The sequence below is a fragment of the Homo sapiens genome, chromosome 7, assembly GCF_000001405.40.
Source record: "Homo sapiens chromosome 7, GRCh38.p14 Primary Assembly".
Taxonomy (NCBI): Eukaryota; Metazoa; Chordata; class Mammalia; order Primates; family Hominidae; genus Homo; species Homo sapiens.
This window is the reverse complement of record NC_000007.14, coordinates 30,436,655-30,462,692: the sequence shown is the minus strand read 5'-3', so window position 1 is coordinate 30,462,692 and position 26,038 is coordinate 30,436,655. Positions and strand designations below refer to the sequence as shown.

At 47.4% G+C, this 26,038-nt stretch overlaps 1 protein-coding gene across 35 annotated transcripts in view, besides 2 other annotated features; it reads left to right on the top strand.

Annotated features, from left to right (window-relative positions):
* The window catches only part of NOD1 (nucleotide binding oligomerization domain containing 1), a 54,258-nt gene that overhangs the window by 16,092 nt on the left and 12,128 nt on the right, over positions 1 to 26,038 (top strand). For 10 of the 35 annotated variants that reach the window (XM_047419765.1, NM_001354849.2, XM_011515085.2 and 7 more), the window contains 8 exons: positions 2,652 to 2,792; positions 3,453 to 3,541; positions 5,651 to 5,972; positions 7,382 to 7,556; positions 9,653 to 11,477; positions 14,312 to 14,395; positions 15,643 to 15,726; positions 16,469 to 16,552. In XM_047419765.1, coding sequence (XP_047275721.1) covers positions 5,772 to 5,972; positions 7,382 to 7,556; positions 9,653 to 11,477; positions 14,312 to 14,395; positions 15,643 to 15,726; positions 16,469 to 16,552 — 2,453 coding nt within the window. In that variant the 5' untranslated portion in view covers positions 2,652 to 2,792; positions 3,453 to 3,541; positions 5,651 to 5,771. The other 25 variants (XR_007059981.1, NM_006092.4, XM_005249568.2 and 22 more) reach the window with 14 other exon arrangements.
* Positions 12,667 to 13,167: an enhancer, noted in NCBI's record as "H3K4me1 hESC enhancer chr7:30489142-30489642 (GRCh37/hg19 assembly coordinates)". NCBI's record gives its function as "activates a minimal SCP1, AML or CMV promoter by ChIP-STARR-seq in naive H9 embryonic stem cells {active_cell/tissue: H9 hESC(naive)}" and the evidence as "EXISTENCE:reporter gene assay evidence [ECO:0000049][PMID:30033119]".
* Positions 16,695 to 16,854: a silencer, noted in NCBI's record as "silent region_18066". NCBI's record gives its function as "represses an Ori minimal core promoter by ATAC-STARR-seq in GM12878 lymphoblastoid cells {active_cell/tissue: GM12878}" and the evidence as "EXISTENCE:reporter gene assay evidence [ECO:0000049][PMID:35858748]".

Here is a 26,038-nt window from a genome sequence, read left to right as displayed (position 1 = left end):
ACAAGCGTGAGCCACTGCACCCAGCCCTAAGTACTCTTTTGAGTCTGGCTTCTCTCACTCAGTGTAGTATCTGTGACACTCATTCATGATGGATTCTTGTTTCATTGGCATTTATTGTTGAATTGTGTTCTACTGTATGAATATGCTATACTTTGTCAATCCATTCACCAGCAGTTGTCCTCTGTGTGAGCTACAAGTTATTCTATTATAGCCAGGACTGGAAGTCCCTTGTTTAAAAAGAAAAAACAGCAAAAAAAAAAAAAAAACCCATCAGAACCCCTGATTCTTTTCAAAAGGCGGGTTTCTAGAAGGGGAAGTTACTAAATAGAAAGTTTTCAGAGTCTGTTGACACATATTGTGTCAAAGGACTTTCCAGAGACTTCCACAGATTTACATTTCCACCAGTGGTATAGGAGAGTCCTGACTCACCAAACATCAACAGCATTTTTGTATCTTACTCTCTATCTTTGCAAGGATGCAAAGCTGCAAAATTGTATGCAGCAGTGAAGAGAATTTTACATTGAGTATAAACCAGTAGGTCCAGTGTGTATTTTCTTCCTGAGTTTGCAGAATTTTCAGTGACCTCACGTCTTTAACCTCTGTCTCACTGAGTTGCCGATGAAACTGATCTGAAAAGCCAATTAAGATCATTCCTGGCCAGGCACGGTGGCTCACACCTGTAATCCCAGCACTTTGGGAGGCCGAGGTGGGTGGATCACGAGGTCAGGAGATCAAGACCATCCTGGCTAACACGGTGAAACCGCGTCCCTACTAAAAATACAAAAAATTAGCTGGGCATGGTGGCAGGTGCCTGTAGTCCCAGCTACTTGGGAGGCTGAGGCAGGAGAATGGCGTGAACCCGGGAGGCGGAGCTTGCAGTGGGCCAAGATTGTGCCACTGCACTCCCGCCTGGGTGACAGAGCGAGACTCCGTCTCAACAACAACAACAACAACAACAAAGATCATTCCTGGCATCAGTATTTCAAATGGAAGGGCAGCAGGCAGGAACTCTGATGTCTCAACACCCTAGCTTTTAGTGATTGCCCTGGAGTGGCACTGTCCACTTGAGTAGCCCCTGGCCGCATGTGGCTCTTGAGCACTGGAAATGTGGTTGATCCAAACTGAGATGTGCGATTAAAACACATGCCAGGTTTCCAAGCCATAGTATGAAGAAAAAGAATGTAAACTATCTCATTAATAAATTTTTTGTTGATGGGCTGGGTGCAGTGGCTCACACCTGTAATCCCAGCACTTTGGGAGGCTGAGGTGGGAGGATCACTTGAGGCCAGGAGTTCAAGACCAGCCTGGGCAATATGATGAAACCCTGTCTCTACTAAAAATACAAAAAGTAGCCAGGCATGGGGGTGTGCACCTGTAATCCCAGCTACTTAGGAGGCGGAGGCAGGAGAATTGCTTGAACCTGGGAGGCGGAGGCTGCAGTGAGCCGAGATTGCGCCACCGCACTCCAGCCTGGGCGACAGAGTGAGTGAGACTTCATCTCAAAAAATAATAATAAATAAATTTTGTATGGATGACATACTGAAATATTTTGAGTGTATTAGAATTAAAATATATCATTGAAATTAATTTCACCTGTCCATTTTTACTTTTATTAGTGTGGCTATTAGAAAGTTTTAAATTACTAGGAAAGCTGTGTCATATTTCAATTCAACAGAGCTGCTCTATGGTCTCCTTTTTCCCTTTGAAGATCCGCCATCCTGCAATCCCTGCTTCCTTTTCACCAGAGCAGCTTCCCTGAATCTTCTCCTGGAGGCTCTGCAGACCTTTTCTTTAGTTTGGAAGATCACATTGCAGGAGGGGACTTGGGCACTGGTTTCTGTGAGGAGCCCGGAGTGGTGAATTGCCCCTGGGATTCCCTTACCCTGGAAACTAACCCTCTCTGAGGGCAGAAAGCTAGAAAGAAGAGCGGTTGAGAGGAAATGCCTGTGCAACCCCCAGCTCCCTTCGGGGCTCCCTCACTGCCCACAGGCTCTACCCCCACCTGCCTTTGCCTCAGGAGATGGCTTTTGGTGGTGGACTCACCCTCCTCCGATCTCCTCTGCTTCATTTTTCCACTTGGTGATCCATCTTTTGTTCTGCGGTGTGTCCTGTTTTCTGGCTGCCTCCATTAGCTTGGTTTTTTCCTTTGGGTATCCCTGGAGCTGTCTTACCAGGATCTCCAACTTCAGTCCCCATTGGTCTGCACCACTGGCCTGGGAAAGCTCCACCCAGGAGAGCAGACCCAGCTCCCAGATACCTGGCCCCAGCCCAATCTCCGTCCTCTCTTTGCCTGGAAGAGAGGACCAGACCGTCTTCATCAACTGGACCCACCCTTTACCAAGCAAAGAAAGGAAAGGATTGCCCCCCAGGGCCAGCAGATCTCTGGCTGTCTGGTGTTTCTGGTAATAAGTGCCCATGAACTTCGAATTGATCTCCAGTCTCCCATGGTATGGTTTTGGTCTACCCTTAGATTCTGTTTACCAAGGCAGAGTTCAGTTTCTCTGCTTTCCCTTCCAACATCCATACCTTGTTAAGTTCTTGCTGAATTGAGCTAACTCTGCACACCTGATTAAATCTTCAGCCAGGGCTCTGGACATTATAAAGCAGCCTCCTTGCCAGATGGCTGTCATATAATATATTGCTTTATTTAGGTGATTGTAAGTCAGGAGACTTTCCTTCGGTTTCTGCCTTTGATGGCAAGAGGTGGAGATTGTGGCGGCGATTACAGAAAACATCTGGGAAGACAAGTTGCTGTTTTTATGGGAATCGCAGGCTTGGAAGAGACAGAAGCAGTGAGTAAAACGGGCCCCTCGTGGTAGGCGGGCAAAGGTCGGGAAAGGAGGGATGAAGGAAGCTGTGCAACACCCCTTCCCAGCTTTCTAAAGAATGGAGCATGGCATTGCAAAATGCTGAATCACAAAGTGAGAAGTGACTTCTTTCCAGTTTTCTCTCAGCCTTGTGATGATCTTAAAGAGAAAGTCTCAATTCTGTGCTACTGTGTCTTTAACATCTCTCAAATGCTTCCGAGAGAAAACAGGCCCCAACCCTGGAGCCTTTCCAGGCAGCAGGACTAGCTGGAATACAGTAACATTGTGGTATTTCTGGTGAATTAATTTTTGTGTTACTTTCTATGTATTGCAAAGGATATTTTTTTTCTGTTTCTAATGGTGACATTACATTCCTTTAAAATTATTAGAGTTTTCAAAACTCAATTGAAAGCAAAAGGTTAAGCAAATAAAGGACAGGTGTGACTCAATTATGGCAAGAACAACAAAAAAGTGACTATGGTGGGGACGTTGAACATTTAGAAAACACTGTCCTAAAAGAAGAAGGTACAGAGAGTAGTCTGATACCTGGGAGTACTAGATTTTAAAATTATTCTCTTGCCAATTTTATTCATTCATTCACCATGTGCCACAATAATTTTTTTAAGTCTTTCTTTGATTTTGCAGATTCCAGAAATAAATTGGAAATTGAAGATTTAAACAATGTTGTTTTAAAATATTCTAACTTCAAAGAATGATGCCAGAAACTTAAAAAGGTATTATTAACTGCTAATTTAAATTTAATATTGTCAGCTGGTATGCTTTAAATGAACCGATTTTCTAAAGCTAAGGATCCTAAAGTGGGTCATAGAATTGACTGCCATGGAAAATAGCCGGGTGTGGTGGCTCACACCTGTAATCCAAGCACTTTGGGAGGCCGAGGTGGGCAGATCACTTGAGGTCAGGAGTTCAAGACCAGCTTGGCCAACGTGGTGAAACCCTGTCTCTACTAAAAATACAAAAATTAGCTGGGCATGGTGGCACCCGCCTGTAGTTCTAGCTACTCGGGTGGCTGATGCAGGAGAATTGCTTGAGCTCAGGAGGCAGATGTTGCAGTGAGCCGAGATTGTGCCACTGCACTCCAGCCTGAGCCACACAGTGGGACTCTGTCAAAAAAAAAAAAAAAAGAAAAGGCTGGATTAGTATTTAATAACTTTTATTGGAACAATAACTAATATTTTCATACCTTTAAATTTTTTTGGTGAGGATCTCTTGCCCTTCTGTTGCTGATAATTTTAAATTTTACTCTTTCCTGCTCTATCATTTGGATTCTAAAAAGAAAGCTATTGTGTGGGGTCTGGCATTTGATAGGTTAAAAAAAGAAAACATAGAAGCATGTCAAAGAGCAGGAGACTCATGTGCCACTTGGTGGAAAAAAAATTGAGAACCACTGGACCTGAATGTTAACAGATGTGGCTTGTGAAACATATTAATGATGTGGATAGTGTTAAAAGATCTATGAGCTTTTTTTTGAACTACAAAAAAACCTTTTTTTTACTCTCTCTCTGAAATGCATGAGTTTTCCTGCCTAGACAAACGACAAAGTGGCCAATTCCAGGCCTTTCCACTTCCAAGATCATTTTACACACGCAAGTATTCCTGGACAAGAAGAGGCTGAAGGATCTTCTGTGGGATTTTTTTAAAAAATTATTATTTTTTGCTGTTATTGTTACAAGGAAGGTAGTGAGTGCAATTTTGGGATAACTCAGATGAACCCAAATGTTTTTTAATGCCCAAATAAAATAGCCTGGGTCCCTGTTCCTACCCAGACAAGAAACTCAGCACTTGTACCAGGTTTTCAAGGGTTTCCAGAGAGATACCTCTCTTGGGAATCTAATCCCAGGAACTCTGTGCCGGCTCTCCCTCTTCCTCCTGCCCCTCTGCCCTCCCTCTGTCCCACTTCATGCCACATGGGCTATTGCTTTTCCCTCCTTTCCCAGGGTGCTTGTGTATAACAGACTTTGCTGAAGGTCAAGGACACGGGGGAAGAGGTTATAGCACAACCCAAAATGGGCAACAGTGACTGAGACATCACCGTCCGCAGGTTCCTTGCCTCTGGCTACCACAGGAGACTTCATGCTGCTGTCTCTCTTCTCAGGCTATTTTGTGCTGAGACCGTCTCCCACCAAACCCCACAGGTCTTTCTTTCTCAGTTCTGGGCCTGTTCCCTGCTTGGGGAATGCAGAAACCTCCAAGCCCTGTTAACCTTATTATGTAAAATAAACACCTTTCCATCTCTATCCCAGTATAGGATCAAAGCACACTTTTGCTTTATAGTAATAATAAAGATGTTTTGATTTAAAAATAAAAAAGAGTTGGCTATCTCTGGTCACCTACCCTAGAGATGTAACCCTCAAGTGCAAACAATTAAATTATGATTTTTTTTCTTTAATGCATCTAAGATAAAAGTTTTTTTAGAGACAGGGCCTTGCTCTGTCACCCAGGCTGGAGTGCAGTGGTGTGATCATCGTTCACTGCAGCCTTGAACTCTTGTGCTCATGTGATCCTCCTGCCTTAGCCTCCCCAATAGCTGGGACTACAGGTGCGCCACCATGCCTGGCTAATTTTTTTTATTTTTGTAGAGATGGGTGTCTCACTATGTTGCACAGGTTGGTCTCAAACTACTGGCCTTACTTCAAGCTATCTACCCATCTCAGCCTCCCAAAGCGCTGGGATTACAGTCATGAGCCAACTTGCCTGGCCAGATAAAGGTCTTAAGCATGGTTCCTTCCTGCTCTAGGTAGAGAAACCCCACAACCAGTGGGAGGTGGGGTGAGCTCTTTCTGTAGCTTTTGCTTTGCTGATGATGTCATTGATCTCTTCAGGGGCTGCGCAGAGTAGCAGGGGCCCTGGAGGGCGCGGCCTGAATCCTGATTGCCCTTCTGCTGAGAGGACACACGCAGCTGAAGATGAATTTGGGAAAAGTAGCCGCTTGCTACTTTAACTATGGAAGAGCAGGGCCACAGTGAGATGGAAATAATCCCATCAGAGTCTCACCCCCACATTCAATTACTGAAAAGCAATCGGGAACTTCTGGTCACTCACATCCGCAATACTCAGTGTCTGGTGGACAACTTGCTGAAGAATGACTACTTCTCGGCCGAAGATGCGGAGATTGTGTGTGCCTGCCCCACCCAGCCTGACAAGGTGCCCCGGGGACAGGGACGGGCATGGCATTGTGTGGACCCCGGGAGCTAGAAGAGGCCTCTCCCTGCTGATCTGAGTGAAGAGCGTGGGAGTTTAGTCCAGCGGGCAGGGCTGCATTTTGGGGTACTAATAGCACACAAATGCCTGGGTTAGCAGGTTGCACAGTCAGGTATTTTACTTCTGTGTTTGTGTCTGGAGCAAACCCTGACATCTCAGTTCTCATTGCTGTGTGTATTGGTTCCCAGACACTTCATTTTTAGATCCCCTTTAAATTAGGAGGGAAAAAGAACATAAGCATAAGAGCATCCCCAGCAGCGATGTTCATTCAGTGCCTCTGAAGGCTGGAGGGCTGCTTGTTGCTGGGTGAGACTCGGAGGGGAACCGACTCAGGGTCAGGAATGATGACATCCCACGGTGGGTCCACAGTGAAGAATCTTCCCCGCTCCACTGTGGGACGCCTTAACAGCCCTTACTTCCACTTACGCTTTGCGTTATCTCCTGAAAAATAAAATGGAGACCACAAATTCCTTCTTGGTTAGAGGAATGACACAACTCATTTATGACATGACCCCGCTGGGACTCAGAAGAGACCAGGACGGTTTCTGGGGGAAGCAGTAGCACACTCGTGTGCTTTGTTCTCTTCTCTTGATTTGTTTTCCCACATTTTTAACAAGAAAAAAAGCCGTTTTTAATATATGGCCTATCGCCCTCCTACTGTGTGGCCCAGGTGCCTACCTCATTATGCCCAAGGGGTGGTTCTCACCTCTCCACTCTCATTCCTGCACAGCAGTTGTGTCAGGTTAAGAGGGACAAGGAGAAGGCTGGGCACCGTGGCTCACGCCTGTAATCCCAGCACTTTGGGAGGCCGAGGCAGGCAGATCACCTAAGGTCAGGAGTTTGAGACCAGCCTGGCCAACATGGGGAAAACCCGTCTCTAATAAAAACACAAAAATTAGTCGGGCATGGTGGTGGGTGCCTGTAATCCCAGCCACTTGGGAGGCTGAGGAAAGAGAATTCCTTGAACCTGGGAGGTGGAGGTTGCAGTGAGCCAAGATTGTGCCATTGCACTCCAGCCCTCCAGCCTGGGTGACAGAGCAAGACTCTGTCTCAAAAAAGAAAAAAAAAAAAAAGAGGTAGAGAAGTCCATGGCTATTTGTCTGTCCTTTTTATTTTTAGGCTCATGGAAGCCTCCTGGTTTCTTAGAGCTGAGTGGTTTTATTTCTTGCTCAGGAGGTCATTTCACAGATTTTCGGGCTCCAATATGTTGACTGTCACAGCAGCTGGGGGGATGGCATAGCTACCGGCTGTACTAAGAACTCAGAGCCCTGCCCTGAGCCTGCCTGAGGGTCCTTATGGTAGGAGGATGCCCCTCATGCCAGCCCGTGCCCTCATGCTTGTGTCACCTCCAGGTCCGCAAAATTCTGGACCTGGTACAGAGCAAGGGCGAGGAGGTGTCCGAGTTCTTCCTCTACTTGCTCCAGCAACTCGCAGATGCCTACGTGGACCTCAGGCCTTGGCTGCTGGAGATCGGCTTCTCCCCTTCCCTGCTCACTCAGAGCAAAGTCGTGGTCAACACTGACCCAGGTAGGAGTCAGCCCCAGCAAGACCGCAGGCACCAGTGCAAGCAGGGCCCTGGGGGGTTTGGTAATGGCTGGGCCAGCCCTGAGTGCCACCTCAGGAAGCAGGCCCAGGTGCTATTTTGATTTTAGAAAGGAACAGCTGAATCCTGTCTCCCAAGTGCAGCCCAGGTGGCTGCGATTGAACTGCCCACACCTCGATGGTCTGGTTTATAGAGGGGCCTTTGGAAGTATGGGAATGGCCTGTGTTCTGACCCCTTGCTTTCTTCCTATTCTGACATATGTAGACATTTTAATGGTTGCACAAATTCAAGGTTGTATTTTTTTTTCTTTTAAAAAAATCTTTAGCTGGACATGGTAGCACACACCTGTAGTTCCAGCTACTCAGGAGGCTGAGGCAAGAGGACTGCTTGAGCCCCAGAGTCTAAGGCTGCAGCGAGCTATGATTGTGCCCCTACACTCCAGCCTGGGTGACAGAGTGAGACCCTGTCTCTAAAAAAGGAAAGAAAAAAATTAAAAAGCCTTGCCAGGTTTGATTCTAGGCAAAGTATTCTGTCACCGTTGAGTGCCAGTCCTTATTTCCAAACTAATGGAAGACCCCATCAGTTAACTGATTAGTTCAATAAGTATTTTTTGCTGTATCCACCACATGCCAAGACCCTACACTGTGCTGGATGTCAGGGAGACAGTGGTGAGCAGACACAGACAGGGTTCCTGCCCTCAGGGAGCTTCAAGTCAGCTGGAAGAGACCACCAGTCAGCAATCTCAAAAATGTGTCAGGACAGCGGCAGTCCAAGGCATGTGAGAACATATCATTAGGGCCAGGATCTGCTCTGGGGCAGGAGTCTTCTTTCCCTGCTTTTGAACTCTCCACTTTGAGACAGCTGTTGGTAACATACCAGCACCAAGGACCTAAGTCCTGCCTTTTAAAGAATCCAATATGTTGTTGGAAACAGAAGCACAAGACAGGTGTGTGCTTAGGGGAAACAAGGCCAGCCGGCAGAGTGTCAGTGCTAGGCTCCAGCTTCCACAGCCCCTGCAGGTGCCTGCCAGCCACTGCTAGCTTCTGACTCTGTCTGCTCCTTCCTGTCTCCCCTTGTTTCCTTCCCCCATGAAAAAAAAAGAAAGTATTCCCATGAGGAATCATTCTTTCGAAAGACTTCTCTGTTGGTTCCGTTAGCCAGCTACTTTACTAGCTTTTACAGTGTAATTCACTCTACAAGCAGTCTCACACAAAAGACTACATATTGTATGATTCTGTTTATATGAAATGTCCAGAAAAGGTAAATCTATAGACAAAGCAAATCAGTAGTTGCCTACGGCCCAGGGATTGGCTACAAATAGGCTCCAGAAAACTCTGGGAAGATGGTAGAGATGTTCTAGACCTGGACTGTGGTGAGGTTTGCACAACTTTGTAAACTTACTAAAAATTACTGACAAATATATAACACTCCCTAACACTTTGGGAGGCCGAGGTGGGCAGATCGCTTGAACCCAGGAATTTGAGACCAGCCTGGGCAACATGGCGAGACCCCGTCTCTACAAAAAAACACAAAAATTAGTTGGGCTTGGTGGCATATGCCTGTGTCCCAGCTACTTGGGAGGCTGAGGTGGGAGGATTGCTTGAGCCTGGGAGTTTGAGACTGCATGATTGGGTCACTGCACCCTAGCCTGAGTGACAGAGCAGGACCCTATCTCTAACAACAAAAAAGCAGTGTTGGTGGAGGAGGGCCAGCGTGGCCATCTGGCCTGGCCCTCGAGTGCGAGGGGCTTCAGTGTTTAGCTGCAGTTCAGTGATGACACTGTGCGGAGGAATAAGGGTGGCCTGTCTCAGACACTGATCCCAGCTGAAGTTTGTCACCTTCTTTCTGGCAAATCTGAGGTCAAGCAGAGAGATCAAAGCCTGGGGCCCTCAGGGTCAGGAATGCTGGCTCTGTGACGCTCCCCAGGTCCTGCATCTGAGGAGTGGCTGCGCTGGCCTCAGGGCCCAGGTTGTGAATTTTGTTTATGCACTCGCCTCTCCTCTTTGAGACCTCCCTGTTTGATGCTGTTTCTGCCTCTCTCCTCACCCTGCTGCTGTGCCCTGCCACCCCCTCCCTCCAGTGAGCAGGTATACCCAGCAGCTGCGACACCATCTGGGCCGTGACTCCAAGTTCGTGCTGTGCTATGCCCAGAAGGAGGAGCTGCTGCTGGAGGAGATCTACATGGACACCATCATGGAGCTGGTTGGCTTCAGCAATGAGAGCCTGGGCAGCCTGAACAGCCTGGCCTGCCTCCTGGACCACACCACCGGCATCCTCAATGAGCAGGGTGAGACCATCTTCATCCTGGGTGATGCTGGGGTGGGCAAGTCCATGCTGCTACAGCGGCTGCAGAGCCTCTGGGCCACGGGCCGGCTAGACGCAGGGGTCAAATTCTTCTTCCACTTTCGCTGCCGCATGTTCAGCTGCTTCAAGGAAAGTGACAGGCTGTGTCTGCAGGACCTGCTCTTCAAGCACTACTGCTACCCAGAGCGGGACCCCGAGGAGGTGTTTGCCTTCCTGCTGCGCTTCCCCCACGTGGCCCTCTTCACCTTCGATGGCCTGGACGAGCTGCACTCGGACTTGGACCTGAGCCGCGTGCCTGACAGCTCCTGCCCCTGGGAGCCTGCCCACCCCCTGGTCTTGCTGGCCAACCTGCTCAGTGGGAAGCTGCTCAAGGGGGCTAGCAAGCTGCTCACAGCCCGCACAGGCATCGAGGTCCCGCGCCAGTTCCTGCGGAAGAAGGTGCTTCTCCGGGGCTTCTCCCCCAGCCACCTGCGCGCCTATGCCAGGAGGATGTTCCCCGAGCGGGCCCTGCAGGACCGCCTGCTGAGCCAGCTGGAGGCCAACCCCAACCTCTGCAGCCTGTGCTCTGTGCCCCTCTTCTGCTGGATCATCTTCCGGTGCTTCCAGCACTTCCGTGCTGCCTTTGAAGGCTCACCACAGCTGCCCGACTGCACGATGACCCTGACAGATGTCTTCCTCCTGGTCACTGAGGTCCATCTGAACAGGATGCAGCCCAGCAGCCTGGTGCAGCGGAACACACGCAGCCCAGTGGAGACCCTCCACGCCGGCCGGGACACTCTGTGCTCGCTGGGGCAGGTGGCCCACCGGGGCATGGAGAAGAGCCTCTTTGTCTTCACCCAGGAGGAGGTGCAGGCCTCCGGGCTGCAGGAGAGAGACATGCAGCTGGGCTTCCTGCGGGCTTTGCCGGAGCTGGGCCCCGGGGGTGACCAGCAGTCCTATGAGTTTTTCCACCTCACCCTCCAGGCCTTCTTTACAGCCTTCTTCCTCGTGCTGGACGACAGGGTGGGCACTCAGGAGCTGCTCAGGTTCTTCCAGGAGTGGATGCCCCCTGCGGGGGCAGCGACCACGTCCTGCTATCCTCCCTTCCTCCCGTTCCAGTGCCTGCAGGGCAGTGGTCCGGCGCGGGAAGACCTCTTCAAGAACAAGGATCACTTCCAGTTCACCAACCTCTTCCTGTGCGGGCTGTTGTCCAAAGCCAAACAGAAACTCCTGCGGCATCTGGTGCCCGCGGCAGCCCTGAGGAGAAAGCGCAAGGCCCTGTGGGCACACCTGTTTTCCAGCCTGCGGGGCTACCTGAAGAGCCTGCCCCGCGTTCAGGTCGAAAGCTTCAACCAGGTGCAGGCCATGCCCACGTTCATCTGGATGCTGCGCTGCATCTACGAGACACAGAGCCAGAAGGTGGGGCAGCTGGCGGCCAGGGGCATCTGCGCCAACTACCTCAAGCTGACCTACTGCAACGCCTGCTCGGCCGACTGCAGCGCCCTCTCCTTCGTCCTGCATCACTTCCCCAAGCGGCTGGCCCTAGACCTAGACAACAACAATCTCAACGACTACGGCGTGCGGGAGCTGCAGCCCTGCTTCAGCCGCCTCACTGTTCTCAGGTGAGGCTGCCAGGCAAGGGGAGCAACAGGTGGGCCGGGCGGGCCAGGCTCGGAGGGCATCGGGAATGGCATCATGGACCAGGATCCCCCAGGACTCATGACCATGGCCCTTGGAATGTCCAGACCTTTTCTTTCTTAGCAGGGCAGAGGTCAAGGTGCAAAGCTTCGAGGCAGGTGGACCTGGATCAGCCACAGCTGGGTGCCCTTGAACAAAGTGCTTAACTCTCAGAGCCTCCACGCCCTCATCTGGAAAAAGAAGATGCTCATAATCCTATCAATTATGGCCACAGGGACCAATGTTAGTTGAGAATGGGTGAAGTGCATTACAAATATTACCTAATGGAATGCTCTTTACAACCCTGTAACTTAGGTACTGTTATTGTCTCTATTTTGGCAGATAAGGAAGTAGAGGCACAGAGAAGTTAATAGCTTGCTTTAGGTCACACAGCTCAGACATAGCAGTGCCAGAATGCATAAAGAACCTTCCTTTTAAGATTAATGTAAGGCTCCGAGATAGCCCTCAAAAAGTTTCTGGAATATGGGAGCTTTTATTACTGCAGAGAAAGCAGACCTTGTGCCAGTTGGCACTGGTGACTTTCTGTGATCAACGCTAGCAGCCCTTCACACTGCTAGAGACCTCAGTTAAAATGCTGACTCGTGGTTGTTTTCCTGTTCCATAGTTTACGGGAAACAGAGCCCAGTCTGTTTTCTTCTATTAGCATTTCCTATGTAAAATAAACCTTGTAAATCTCTACAGGGGGTTAAATTTGCCATTACTTGACTCATGCATTTCTAAAAAGCAGTAGGGATTTGGAACTGACTCCCAGTGCCTGTCACACCAGTGTCAGAGTGTAAATAATTGCATGGGGACATGGGGTGCAGGGGGTCGAAGGCTGCCCTAGCCTGGGAATTGGAAAACCTGGAGTCTGTTCTCTGTACTCTCAGCCAGTGACTCTCCCTCTGTAGCCCCAGGCAGTCTCACACTCAGTGCCACCCTCTGTCCATCTTTTTTTTTTCTCCCCCAAATGGAGTCCCGCTCTGTTGCCCAGGCTGGAGTGCAGTGGCGTGATCTCAGCTCACTGCAACCTCCGCCTCCTGGGTTCAAGCGATTCTCTTGCCCCAGCCTCCTGAGTAGCTGGGATTACAGGCACACGCCACCATGTCCGGCTAAGTTTTTTGTATTTTTAGTAGGACGGGGTTTCCCCATGTTGGCCAGGCTGGTCTTGAAATCCTGACCTCAGGTGATCCGCCCGCCTCGGCCTTCCAAAATGTTGGGGTTACAGGCATGAGCCGCCGCACCCGACCCCTCTGTCCATCTTTTCAATGGGAAACTCCACACCAGTGTGGTGGCCCTGCCCTTCCTGCTGTCCCCAGGTGAAGCTTTCCTTCACACCAGTGCAAGAAAAAACAGCTTGTAGGAAAGCAGAGGATATGGGTAACCACGGGAAGCACACTCAGTTCTCTGGCTGCATCAGTTAGGATTAGTTTTAGCTGAGAGCGAAAACCCCAAATGTTGGTGAGTTACAAGCTTATTTCTCTCATGTAAAAGTCTAGAGGTAGGTAGTTCAGGACTGGTATGGAGTCTCCATGACCCTCCGGAGCCCAGGCTCTCTTCTGCCTTCCTGTTCTGCCATCCTCACTACCCGGCTTTCCCATCTTGGCCCAAGAGGGCTGCTCAAACTCCAGCCATCTAGTCGACACTCTAGCTATCAGTAAGAAGGAAGGGCAAAGATTGAGAGCATGCCTCAATCTTTTAAGAACACTTCTTGGCTATTACTAATTATATTGCTGCTTAGATTTCAGAACTTAATGGTATGGGCAGAATTTAATGAGATGGGCCCAGCTAAAAGATGGGGGAATCTATTGCTAAGAAAGTATAGATATTGGGAATGTCTAGCAGCCTGTGCTGTCTTGGGCTGGCCATGCCATGTACATACACACTATTTCCCAGCACCAAGCTGGGGACTCTGAGGGAAAGGGTCCAGAGTGTCTGACTTGATCATTTTGATGTGGCCTAAAAATCAAGCTTTTAATTGTTCAGCCTTTTACTTGTTATCAAGGTCAGCTTGTGGGTCTAATTGGGCCCAAGGCTTGTGTTTCTAAGTAAAGTTTTATTGGAACGCAGCCATACCCATTTATTTACTTACTGGCTGCTTCACACTACACAGTTGAGTAGCTGTGACAGAGACCACATGGCCCACAGAGCCTAAAATATTTGCTGTCTGACACTTTACAGAATGACATGAGCAGTCTCCTTTGACAGTGGGACTCACAGCCTTTTCCAGTGACAAATCAGGGTTAGCCCATGTGTTTCTGGATGGGGGGAAGCTGTTGGCATTTTGGGTATAACAGTTCTTGTGAGACCTGTCCAGCATTTTGCAGGACACCTAACATCATTGGCCCTGCCTGCAAGATGACAGGGCACTCCCTCCTCCAGTCACAACCACTAAAAGCAGCCCCTGACATTTCCAAACCCATGCCCTCCACCATACGAGAACCAGGTACAGGGTCTGGCTGACACATAGGTCACACGCAAAGGGTGGATGTCAGAGGTGGCTGGCCTCACACGTCCTCCCTGTGTCCTTCACGGTCGTGTGAGGAGCCAGGGGCTGTGCTGCAGCCTCGCTCATGGGCTGGTGCAGGATGGGTCTGGCGGCCCCACGTTGGCCAGGCTTTGTAAGGGGCTATTTGGCTGATTGCTGTGGCCATTCTCCAGGGGCGTCTATACCTGAGAAAACTCCAGGGCCTGAAGGCTTCTGGATCTTTGTAAGATTAATGGTCCTTCATAATGAGTGCCTGCCCTGACTCGTAATTTTTTTGCTGTTTTATTTCAGACTCAGCGTAAACCAGATCACTGACGGTGGGGTAAAGGTGCTAAGCGAAGAGCTGACCAAATACAAAATTGTGACCTATTTGGGGTATGTCTTTCTCCAGAACACTGGGCCAACTACCTAGTAATAATACAGAGCTGCAGGGAATTCACATTCCCATAGGTCCCTGGATGATCGGCACGGATGGCCCAGGGCTGGGAAGAGCGCTGGCCCAGGAGTTGAGAGTCCTGGGTTCTCTTTGTGGCTCGGCCAGTCATGAAGTCTTGCTGAGCCTCAGCCTCCTCACCTGTAAAACTGGGATCCCAGTATAGGCAAGTAGGCTTACAACTGGTTATTGGGGGATGCAACGAGAATATAAGGGGATATATTTAATAAATGCTAGAATCCTGTTTACATATTAGTCTGGACTATTTTGGGTCCATAATCCCTCATCCAGAGCCTTTGGGGCAAGACCCGAATGGGGATTCTGAGTGCATGCTATGGCATGACGTGGCCGCAGGGGTCTAAGGCAGTGCCCCATTTTCAAACACTTTCATATTTCTCCCGCAGAATGTATGAAACAGTCAAACCAAGTGTGGTAAGAAAGACTATAAGTAGCTCCACATCAGTTGCCAAAAGAATTGTGAGAAACTTTGGGCATTCAGAGCCTTTGAGGTTTTGGAGTCTGAGAGAAGGGATTGCGGGCCAGCCCCACACAACTGGTGGCTCTGCAAGCTGGAGCAGTTGTTCAGTTTCTTGGGGCCTCAGTGGCCTTCGATGTTAATGAGGACATGGACGCAAACGACCCCGGGCCACACTCGGCTCCAGGGCTCTGTGTGGCTGTGGAACCCTGGAAGCCTGAGCTTAGCTGCCTTTCAACTTCCATCTGCTGTACTATTGAATTGGCATTGAGCGGTGAGATGGCTGAAAGGTAGACATCGAGAAGTTTTAATATTCAGAATCTTTTCTTCTCAAGACGCTGAATGTAATCTTAGTTGTAAATACCCATCACCTGCCAGTCACCGAGCACTCATGCACCAGGGCTTTGCGTTATGTCCTAAGATCCTCATAACCACCCTGCAAGGGGACTATCATCATTACCTCTGTATTACAGATGGAGAAACTGAGGCACAGAGAGGTAACGTGACTTGTCTCAGGCCATAAAGCTGGGGAAAGTAGTGGAGCTGGTTTTGAACCTGAGCTGTGAGACCTCAGAGCCCTAAACTCTGGTGCCTGTGTGTTCCCCTTTCAACCCAGACTTTGGAAATCAGTAGACACCATATGCTTCAAAAAACAGGGGCTATTAAAATGACATCAGGAGCCAGAAAGTCTCATGGCTGTGCTTTCTCTTGAAGTTTATACAACAACCAGATCACCGATGTCGGAGCCAGGTACGTCACCAAAATCCTGGATGAATGCAAAGGCCTCACGCATCTTAAGTAAGTGGGGTAGGCACCAGGTTCCTTAGTATATTCTCTTGATCACCCCCTTCTGTTGTTCAAAGATTAAATGTCACAGTAAAGAGCTTTCATCCTAAAGCCTTCCACTTGTCCCAGGGCCATGTTGGTCAAGTAAAGATACCTCTGTGTGATCTGTGAGGCTTGGATTCTGGAAGGGCCTCCCGTTATTGGTAGGGGGAAAGGTTGGCATTTTGATTTCATTAACTACTAGGCCGAAGAAAGGACTAACTCTCACCCTTTCTGGTGGTCTTTTTGCCCCAAGGGAGTTTCCTGTCGGGTTGCAAGGAAGAGCTTGGGCCCTTGCCCTGCTGTAGGTGTGCCCTGCGCAGGGGGTGACAGTGCGCCAGGCTTGGAGCCTCTGGTCCTGCCCTGACAGTGGCCACATACCTTGACCCTTGGCAGTCAAAGTGGGACCTCCCAGGTCTCCCGAGGGAAGTCAGTGATGCTGCTGAGGTCAATTAGAGGACCCCAGGGAGGGCTCAGGTCCCTGAGCTTCTGCAGAGACTGTGGACCATCTCCTGGAGAGGAACCCTGACTGACTGTCCTCAGGGCTTCAGTTCCCTCCCTGACAGGAGGCCCAGGCCATGGCTCTTGTGGATCCCAGAAGAAAGTGTACGGTTCCCAAGATGGGGCTGGAAGGGGCTCTGTGCTGGGGAGGAGGGTGACCCACATTGGAGCCCCTGCATAGCTGGAGGCTGACTGTGTGTGACTCTCTCTGCAGACTGGGAAAAAACAAAATAACAAGTGAAGGAGGGAAGTATCTCGCCCTGGCTGTGAAGAACAGCAAATCAATCTCTGAGGTTGGGTGAGTAGAAGGGGATGGATGTATGTGGTACAACCTGCTGTGTGTGTGGGGGGCGGGCCTTGCTGTTCTTTTCATACATCAGTACACCAGAAGGACCACTGGGGCTCGCTGTCGGGGAGAGATAGTGGAGAGCTTTCACCATGCTGCGAAACTGAAACCGTGCCCATTAAGCAATAACTCCCCGGTCCCCCTCCCCCCTGCCTCTTGCAGCCACCCTGCTACTTACTCTCTCTATGGTTTTGACTACTCTACCTCATGTAAGTGGAATCATACAGTATTTGCCTTTTGGGGATGGCTGATTTCACTAGCATCATGTCCTCAAGATTCGTCCACATGGAAGCATGGGACAGGATTTCCTTTTTTTTTTTTTTTTTTTTTTTTTTTGACAGAGTCTCGCTCTGTTGCCCAGGCTGGAGTGCAGTGGCATGATCTCGGCTCACTGCAACCTCTGCCTTCTGGGTTCAAGCGATTCTCTCGCCTCAGCCACACGAGTAGCTGGGATTATAGGCACCCGCCACCAATCCCAGCTAATTTTTGTATTTTTAGTAGAGGCGGGGTTTCACCATGTTGGCCAGGCTGGTCTCAAACTCCTGACCTCAAATGATCCACCCACCTCGGTCTCCCAAAGTGTCAGGATTATAGGCGTGAGCCACCGTGCCCCGCCAGGATTTCCTTCTTTTTTAAGGCTGAGTAATACTCCATTGCATGGCTATGCCACATTTTGTTTACTCATTCATCCAAGAACAGACACTGGCTTGCTTCTATGCTTTGGCTGTTGTGAATAATGCTGCTGTGCACATGGGCATACAAATGTCTCTTCAAGGACTGCCTTCAATTCTTTTTTTTTTTTTTTTTTTTTTTTAGATTCTTTTTTTTTTTATTATACTCTAAGTTTTAGGGTACATGTGCACATTGTGCAGGTTAGTTACATATGTATACATGTGCCATGCTGGTGCGCTGCACCCACTAATGTGTCATCTAGCATTAGGTATATCTCCCAATGCTATCCCTCCCCCCTCCCCCGACCCCACCACAGTCCCCAGAGTGTGATATTCCCCTTCCTGTGTCCATGTGATCTCATTGTTCAATTCCCACCTATGAGTGAGAATATGCGGTGTTTGGTTTTTTGTTCTTGCGATAGTTTACTGAGAATGATGGTTTCCAATTTCATCCATGTCCCTACAAAGGATATGAACTCATCATTTTTTATGGCTGCATAGTATTCCATGGTGTATATGTGCCACATTTTCTTAATCCAGTCTATCATTGTTGGACATTTGGGTTGGTTCCAAGTCTTTGCTATTGTGAATAGTGCCACAATAAACATACGTGTGCATGTGTCTTTATAGCAGCATGATTTATACTCATTTGGGTATATACCCAGTAATGGGATGGCTGGGTCAAATGGTATTTCTAGTTCTAGATCCCTGAGGAATCGCCACACTGACTTCCACAATGGTTGAACTAGTTTACAGTCCCACCAACAGTGTAAAAGTGTTCCTATTTCTCCGCATCCTCTCCAGCACCTGCTGTTTCCTGACTTTTTAATGATTGCCATTCTAACTGGTGTGAGATGATATCTCATAGTGGTTTTGATTTGCATTTCTCTGATGGCCAGTGATGATGAGCATTTCTTCATGTGTTTTTTGGCTGCATAAATGTCTTCTTTTGAGAAGTGTCTGTTCATGTCCTTCGCCCACTTTTTGATGGGGTTGTTTGTTTTTTTCTTGTAAATTTGTTTGAGTTCATTGTAGATTCTGGATATTAGCCCTTTGTCAGATGAGTAGGTTGCGAAAATTTTCTCCCATGTTGTAGGTTGCCTGTTCACTCTGATGGTAGTTTCTTTTGCTGTGCAGAAGCTCTTTAGTTTAATTAGATCCCATTTGTCAATTTTGTCTTTTGTTGCCATTGCTTTTGGTGTTTTGGACATGAAGTCCTTGCCCACGCCTATGTCCTGAATGGTAATGCCTAGGTTTTCTTCTAGGGTTTTTATGGTTTTAGGTTTAACGTTTAAATCTTTAATCCATCTTGAATTGATTTTTGTATAAGGTGTAAGGAAGGGATCCAGTTTCAGCTTTCTACATATGGCTAGCCAGTTTTCCCAGCACCATTTATTAAATAGGGAATCCTTTCCCCATTGCTTGTTTTTCTCAGGTTTGTCAAAGATCAGATAGTTGTAGATATGCGGCATTATTTCTGAGGGCTCTGTTCTGTTCCATTGATCTATATCTCTGTTTTGGTACCAGTACCATGCTGTTTTGGTTACTGTAGCCTTGTAGTATAGTTTGAAGTCAGGTAGTGTGATGCCTCCAGCTTTGTTCTTTTGGCTTAGGATTGACTTGGCGATGCGGGCTCTTTTTTGGTTCCATATGAACTTTAAAGTAGTTTTTTCCAATTCTGTGAAGAAAGTCATTGGTAGCTTGATGGGGATGGCATTGAATCTGTAAATTACCTTGGGCAGTATGGCCATTTTCACGATATTGATTCTTCCTACCCATGAGCATGGAATGTTCTTCCATTTGTTTGTGTCCTCTTTTATTTCCTTGAGCAGTGGTTTGTAGTTCTCCTTGAAGAGGTCCTTCACATCCCTTGTAAGTTGGATTCCTAGGTATTTTATTCTCTTTGAAGCAATTGTGAATGGGAGTTCACCCATGATTTGGCTCTCTGTTTGTCTGTTGTTGGTGTATAAGAATGCTTGTGATTTTTGTACATTGATTTTGTATCCTGAGACTTTGCTGAAGTTGCTTATCAGCTTAAGGAGATTTTGGGCTGAGACGATGGGGTTTTCTAGATAAACAATCATGTCGTCTGCAAACAGGGACAATTTGACTTCCTCTTTTCCTAATTGAATACCCTTTATTTCCTTCTCCTGCCTGATTGCCCTGGCCAGAACTTCCAACACTATGTTGAATAGGAGCGGTGAGAGAGGGCATCCCTGTCTTGTGCCAGTTTTCAAAGGGAATGCTTCCAGTTTTTGCCCATTCAGTATGATATTGGCTGTGGGTTTGTCATAGATAGCTCTTATTATTTTGAAATACGTCCCATCAATACCTAATTTATTGAGAGTTTTTAGCATGAAGGGTTGTTGAATTTTGTCAAAGGCTTTTTCTGCATCTATTGAGATAATCATGTGGTTTTTGTCTTTGGCTCTGTTTATATGCTGGATTACATTTATTGATTTGCGTATATTGAACCAGCCTTGCATCCCAGGGATGAAGCCCACTTGATCATGGTGGATAAGCTTTTTGATGTGCTGCTGGATTCGGTTTGCCAGTATTTTATTGAGGATTTTTGCATCAATGTTCATCAAGGATATTGGTCTAAAATTCTCTTTTTTGGTTGTGTCTCTGCCCGGCTTTGGTATCAGAATGATGCTGGCCTCATAAAATGAGTTAGGGAGGATTCCCTCTTTTTCTATTGATTGGAATAGTTTCAGAAGGAATGGTACCAGTTCCTCCTTGTACCTCTGGTAGAATTCGGCTGTGAATCCATCTGGTCCTGGACTCTTTTTGGTTGGTAAACTATTGATTATTGCCACAATTTCAGAGCCTGTTATTGGTCTATTCAGAGATTCAACTTCTTCCTGGTTTAGTCTTGGGAGAGTGTATGTGTCGAGGAATGTATCCATTTCTTCTAGATTTTCTAGTTTATTTGCGTAGAGGTGTTTGTAGTATTCTCTGATGGTAGTTTGTATTTCTGTGGGATCGGTGGTGATATCCCCTTTATCATTTTTTATTGTGTCTATTTGATTCTTCTCTCTTTTTTTCTTTATTAGTCTTGCTAGCGGTCTATCAATTTTGTTGATCCTTTCGAAAAACCAGCTCCTGGATTCATTGATTTTTTGAAGGGTTTTTTGTGTCTCTATTTCCTTCAGTTCTGCTCTGATTTTAGTTATTTCTTGCCTTCTGCTAGCTTTTGAATGTGTTTGCTCTTGCTTTTCTAGTTCTTTTAATTGTGATGTTAGGGTGTCAATTTTGGATCTTTCCTGCTTTCTCTTGTAGGCATTTAGTGCTATAAATTTCCCTCTACACACTGCTTTGAATGCGTCCCAGAGATTCTGGTATGTGGTGTCTTTGTTCTCGTTGGTTTCAAAGAACATCTTTATTTCTGCCTTCATTTCGTTATGTACCCAGTAGTCATTCAGGAGCAGGTTGTTCAGTTTCCATGTAGTTGAGCGGCTTTGAGTGAGATTCTTAATCCTGAGTTCTAGTTTGATTGCACTGTGGTCTGAGAGATAGTTTGTTATAATTTCTGTTCTTTTACATTTGCTGAGGAGAGCTTTACTTCCAACTATGTGGTCAATTTTGGAATAGGTGTGGTGTGGTGCTGAAAAAAATGTATATTCTGTTGATTTGGGGTGGAGAGTTCTGTAGATGTCTATTAGGTCTGCTTGGTGCAGAGCTGAGTTCAATTCCTGGGTATCCTTGTTGACTTTCTGTCTCATTGATCTGTCTAATGTTGACAGTGGGGTGTTAAAGTCTCCCATTATTAATGTGTGGGAGTCTAAGTCTCTTTGTAGGTCACTGAGGACTTGCTTTATGAATCTGGGTGCTCCTGTATTGGGTGCATAAATATTTAGGATAGTTAGCTCCTCTTGTTGAATTGATCCCTTTACCATTATGTAATGGCCTTCTTTGTCTCTTTTGATCTTTGTTGGTTTAAAGTCTGTTTTATCAGAGACTAGGATTGCAACCCCTGCCTTTTTTTGTTTTCCATTGGCTTGGTAGATCTTCCTCCATCCTTTTATTTTGAGCCTATGTGTGTCTCTGCACGTGAGATGGGTTTCCTGAATACAGCACACTGATGGGTCTTGACTCTTTATCCAACTTGCCAGTCTGTGTCTTTTAATTGCAGAATTTAGTCCATTTATATTTAAAGTTAATATTGTTATGTGTGAATTTGATCCTGTCATTATGATGTTAGCTGGCGATTTTGCTCATTAGTTGATGCAGTTTCTTCCTAGTCTCGATGGTCTTTACATTTTGGCATGATTTTGCAGCGGCTGGTACCGGTTGTTCCTTTCCATGTTTACCGCTTCCTTCAGGAGCTCTTTTAGGGCAGGCCTGGTGGTGACAAAATCTCTCAGCATTTGCTTGTCTATAAAGTATTTTATTTCTCCTTCACTTATGAAGCTTAGTTTGGCTGGATATGAAATTCTGGGTTGAAAATTCTTTTCTTTAAGAATGTTGAATATTGGCCCCCACTCTCTTCTGGCTTGTAGGGTTTCTGCCGAGAGATCCGCTGTTAGTCTGATGGGCTTTCCTTTGAGGGTAACCCGAACTTTCTCTCTGGCTGCCCTTAACATTTTTTCCTTCATTTCAACTTTGGTGAATCTGACAATTATGTGTCTTGGAGTTGCTCTTCTCGAGGAGTATCTTTGTGGCGTTCTCTGTATTTCCTGAATCTGAACGTTGGCCTGCCTTGCTAGATTGGGGAAGTTCTCCTGGATAATATCCTGCAGAGTGTTTTCCAACTTGGTTCCATTCTCCACATCACTTTCAGGTACACCAATCAGACGTAGATTTGGTCTTTTCACATAGTCCCATATTTCTTGGAGGCTTTGCTCATTTCTTTTTATTCTTTTTTCTCTAAACTTCCCTTCTCGCTTCATTTCATTCATTTCATCTTCCATTGCTGATACCCTTTCTTCCAGTTGATCGCATCGGCTCCTGAGGCTTCTGCATTCTTCACGTAGTTCTCGAGCCTTGGTTTTCAGCTCCATCAGCTCCTTTAAGCACTTCTCTGTATTGGTTATTCTAGTTATACATTCTTCTAAATTTTTTTCAAAGTTTTCAACTTCTTTGCCTTTGGTTTGAATGTCCTCCCGTAGCTCAGAGTAATTTGATCGTCTGAAGCCTTCTTCTCTCAGCTCGTCAAAATCATTCTCCATCCAGCTTTGTTCTGTTGCTGGTGAGGAACTGCGTTCCTTTGGAGGAGGAGAGGCGCTCTGCGTTTTAGAGTTTCCAGTTTTTCTGTTCTGTTTTTTCCCCATCTTTGTGGTTTTATCTACTTTTGGTCTTTGATGATGGTGATGTACAGATGGGTTTTCAGTGTAGATGTCCTTTCTGGTTGTTAGTTTTCCTTCTAACAGACAGGACCCTCAGCTGCAGGTCTGTTGGAATACCCTGCCGTGTGAGGTGTCAGTGTGCCTCTGCTGGGGGGTGCCTCCCAGTTAGGCTGCTCGGGGGTCAGGGGTCAGGGACCCACTTGAGGAGGCAGTCTGCCCGTTCTCAGATCTCCAGCTGCGTGCTGGGAGAACCACTGCTCTCTTCAAAGCTGTCAGACAGGGACACTTAAGTCTGCAGAGGTTACTGCTGTCTTTTTGTTTGTCTGTGCCCTGCCCCCAGAGGTGGAGCCTACAGAGGCAGGCAGGCCTCCTTGAGCTGTGGTGGGCTCCACCCAGTTCGAGCTTCCCGGCTGCTTTGTTTACCTAAGCAAGCCTGGGCTATGGCGGGCGCCCCTCCCCCAGCCTCGTTGCCGCCTTGCAGTTTGATCTCAGACTGCTGTGCTAGCAATCAGCGAGATTCCGTGGGCGTAGGACCCTCTGAGCCAGGTGTGGGATATAGTCTCGTGGTGCGCCGTTTCTTAAGCCGGTCTGAAAAGCGCAATATTCGGGTGGGAGTGACCCGATTTTCCAGGTGCGTCCGTCACCCCTTTCTTTGACTCGGAAAGGGAACTCCCTGATCCCTTGCGCTTCCCAGGTGAGGCAATGCCTCGCCCTGCTTCGGCTCGCGCACGGTGCGCGCACACACTGGCCTGCGCCCACTGTCTGGCGCTCCCTAGTGAGATGAACCCGGTACCTCAGATGGAAATGCAGAAATCACCCGTCTTCTGCGTCGCTCACGCTGGGAGCTGTAGACCGGAGCTGTTCCTATTCGGCCATCTTGGCTCCTCCCTCCAATTCTTTTGGGTATATATCCAGCAGTGGGATTGCTGGATCACATGGTAATTTTTAATTTTTTGAAGAATCATCATACTGTTTTCCACGGCAGCAGCACCATTTTATGTTCCCACCAACAGTTCATTCTAGTTTCTCCACATCCTTGCCAACACTTGCTATTTTCTCTTTTTGACAGTACCCATCCTAATGAGTGTGAGGTCCTGTCTCATTGTGGTTTTGATTCTTGAGGCTTTTTAAAGCTTTTTGTTTCATTATAATTTTTATTGGATTACAAAAGGAACACAGGTAATTTTATTTGGAAACTATGAAAAATAATAAAAATTATCTTCTCAGAAAATGATTCTTGTTAACATTTAAGCTCAGTTAAGCTCTCTCACTTTCTCTCCCTTCTCTCTCTTTGTACAACTTTTAAAAAATATAGTAGGGGTGAGACTATATGTATCTATACTATAGTAGGGGTGAGACTATATGTATCCTTCCTTTTTCACTTAATCTCATGCCTTGAGTAGCTTTCCACTTTATTAAAAATGTGATGCCATTCAATTGTATAGTAAATACATATATGTAAGCAAAACACTGAAAACTCTTATTCTGGGTTCCAGCAAGCCATACCTGGAATGGTGTAAGCAGGTAGTTTGCTTGGTGTGAACGTGTTGTTGAGGCAGCTGCCATTGTGTTGTGAGTGGGCCACACGAACTTGTTCTGTTGTGTGTAGACAGTGTGTGCTGATCCTATTAGGAACAGCCAACGCTTTGTGTGAGCCACACACGGTTCTAAGTGCTTTGCTTCTGTTAACTCAGTGAATCCTCACAACTCCATGACGGAATGCTCTAATTATCCCCATTTTATAGATGGGGCAACTGAGGTCCAAGAGACTACATAATTTCCCGAAGTTCACACAGGTAGCAGATGGCAGAGCCGGGTCAGGAGTCCACCATCTTACCACGCAGACTGTTTTAGCCAGAGACTCTCCGGATCTGCTGTAGGGGACAGAATACAGCTTTATCGCCGCACCTGTCCACCAAGATGGCCGTAGCCACAGAGCTTGGTTGGGTAACGTCCTCTTTATGTGACAGGAACGTTGCTGATGGGGTTTCTGAAGGTACTTCCTGCTCTTTGTCTCCTGGAAGACTGTGTCTTCAGGAATGTCTCTGACCCTGCCCAGAGTTGAACGGATGCTGGGAACCCAGCACCTGCACACGGCCTTCCCTCCAGGACTCTGCGCACCTCTGTGCTCCACAGGAGACATGCAGGTGCTTTCTCTCATGAGCTCAGGCTCCTGGGCTGACAGCTCTCCGAAGCTCGTGGTGAGGCTCGGTCTCTAACTGTGCCACTTGCCGATGGCCTCTGTTCACAAGGCTTCCCCTGCTCTTCGATCTTGCATCACCCCTTGAATTTGAAATCCAGAGCAGCCCACTCAGAGACCAGTGTGAGGAATTAGTGTCCAGGCCACAGATCCAGGGACTGGGCACAAACATCTGCCTGTTGAGTAGGAACTGAGCTGTGGCCATTGGCAAAAAAGGAGGGGTGAGCATGGCTGTTTCTTGGGGAGCTAACATTCACTATCTTGTCTCCTCCCTCAGGATGTGGGGCAATCAAGTTGGGGATGAAGGAGCAAAAGCCTTCGCAGAGGCTCTGCGGAACCACCCCAGCTTGACCACCCTGAGGTAACTGTGGCCCTGCTGTCTCCAGGGGCCAACCTGGTCCCTCCCAGCTGCTCTAGGTTTGCTGGGGAAGGGTGATTCGTGCTCCTAATAGAAGAGGAATTTGCATGTGTGATTTTCCTTACTCTTGTCAAACCTTTCTTTGATGCATAAGAGGCCATCTAGTAAAGCACATTCTTCTCTTTTTTTAACTTTAAGTTCTGGGATACATGTAGAAGATGTGCAGGTTTGTTACATAGGCAAATGCATGCCATGGTGATTTGCTGCACCTATCAACCTGTCATCTAGGTTTTAAGCCCTGCATGCATTAGGTATTTGTCCTAATGCTTGCCCTCCCCTTGCCCCCCACCCCCAACAGGCCCTGGTGTGTGTTGTTCCCCTCCATGTGTCCATGTGTTCTCATTGTTCAACTCCCACTTACGAGTGAGAACATGCAGTGTTTGGTTTTTTGTTCCTGTGTTAGTTTGCTGAGAATGATGGTTTCCAGCTTCATCCATGTGCCAGCAAAGGACATGATCTCATTTTTTTTTATGGTTGCATAGTATTCCATAGTGTGTATGTGCCACATTTTCTTTATCCAGTCTATCACTGATGGGCATTTGGGTTGGTTCCAAGTCTTTGCTATTGTAAATAGTGCTACAATAAACATACATGTGCTTGTGTCTTTATAGCAGAATGATTTATAATCCTTTGGGTAAATACCCAGTAATGGGATTGCTGGGTCAAATGGTATTTCTGGTTCTAGATCCCTGAGGAATCACCTTAAGTGTTTATTCAGCTCAGTGAATTCTGCATGTGTCCCACACCAGCCAACCACCACCCCCATCAAGACAGAGGACATTTCCAGCCCCTCAGCCATCCCTGCATGTCCCTTGCTGGTAGAGGGAGGGTTTCCTAAGTGCAGATGAAACTTAATAAGAT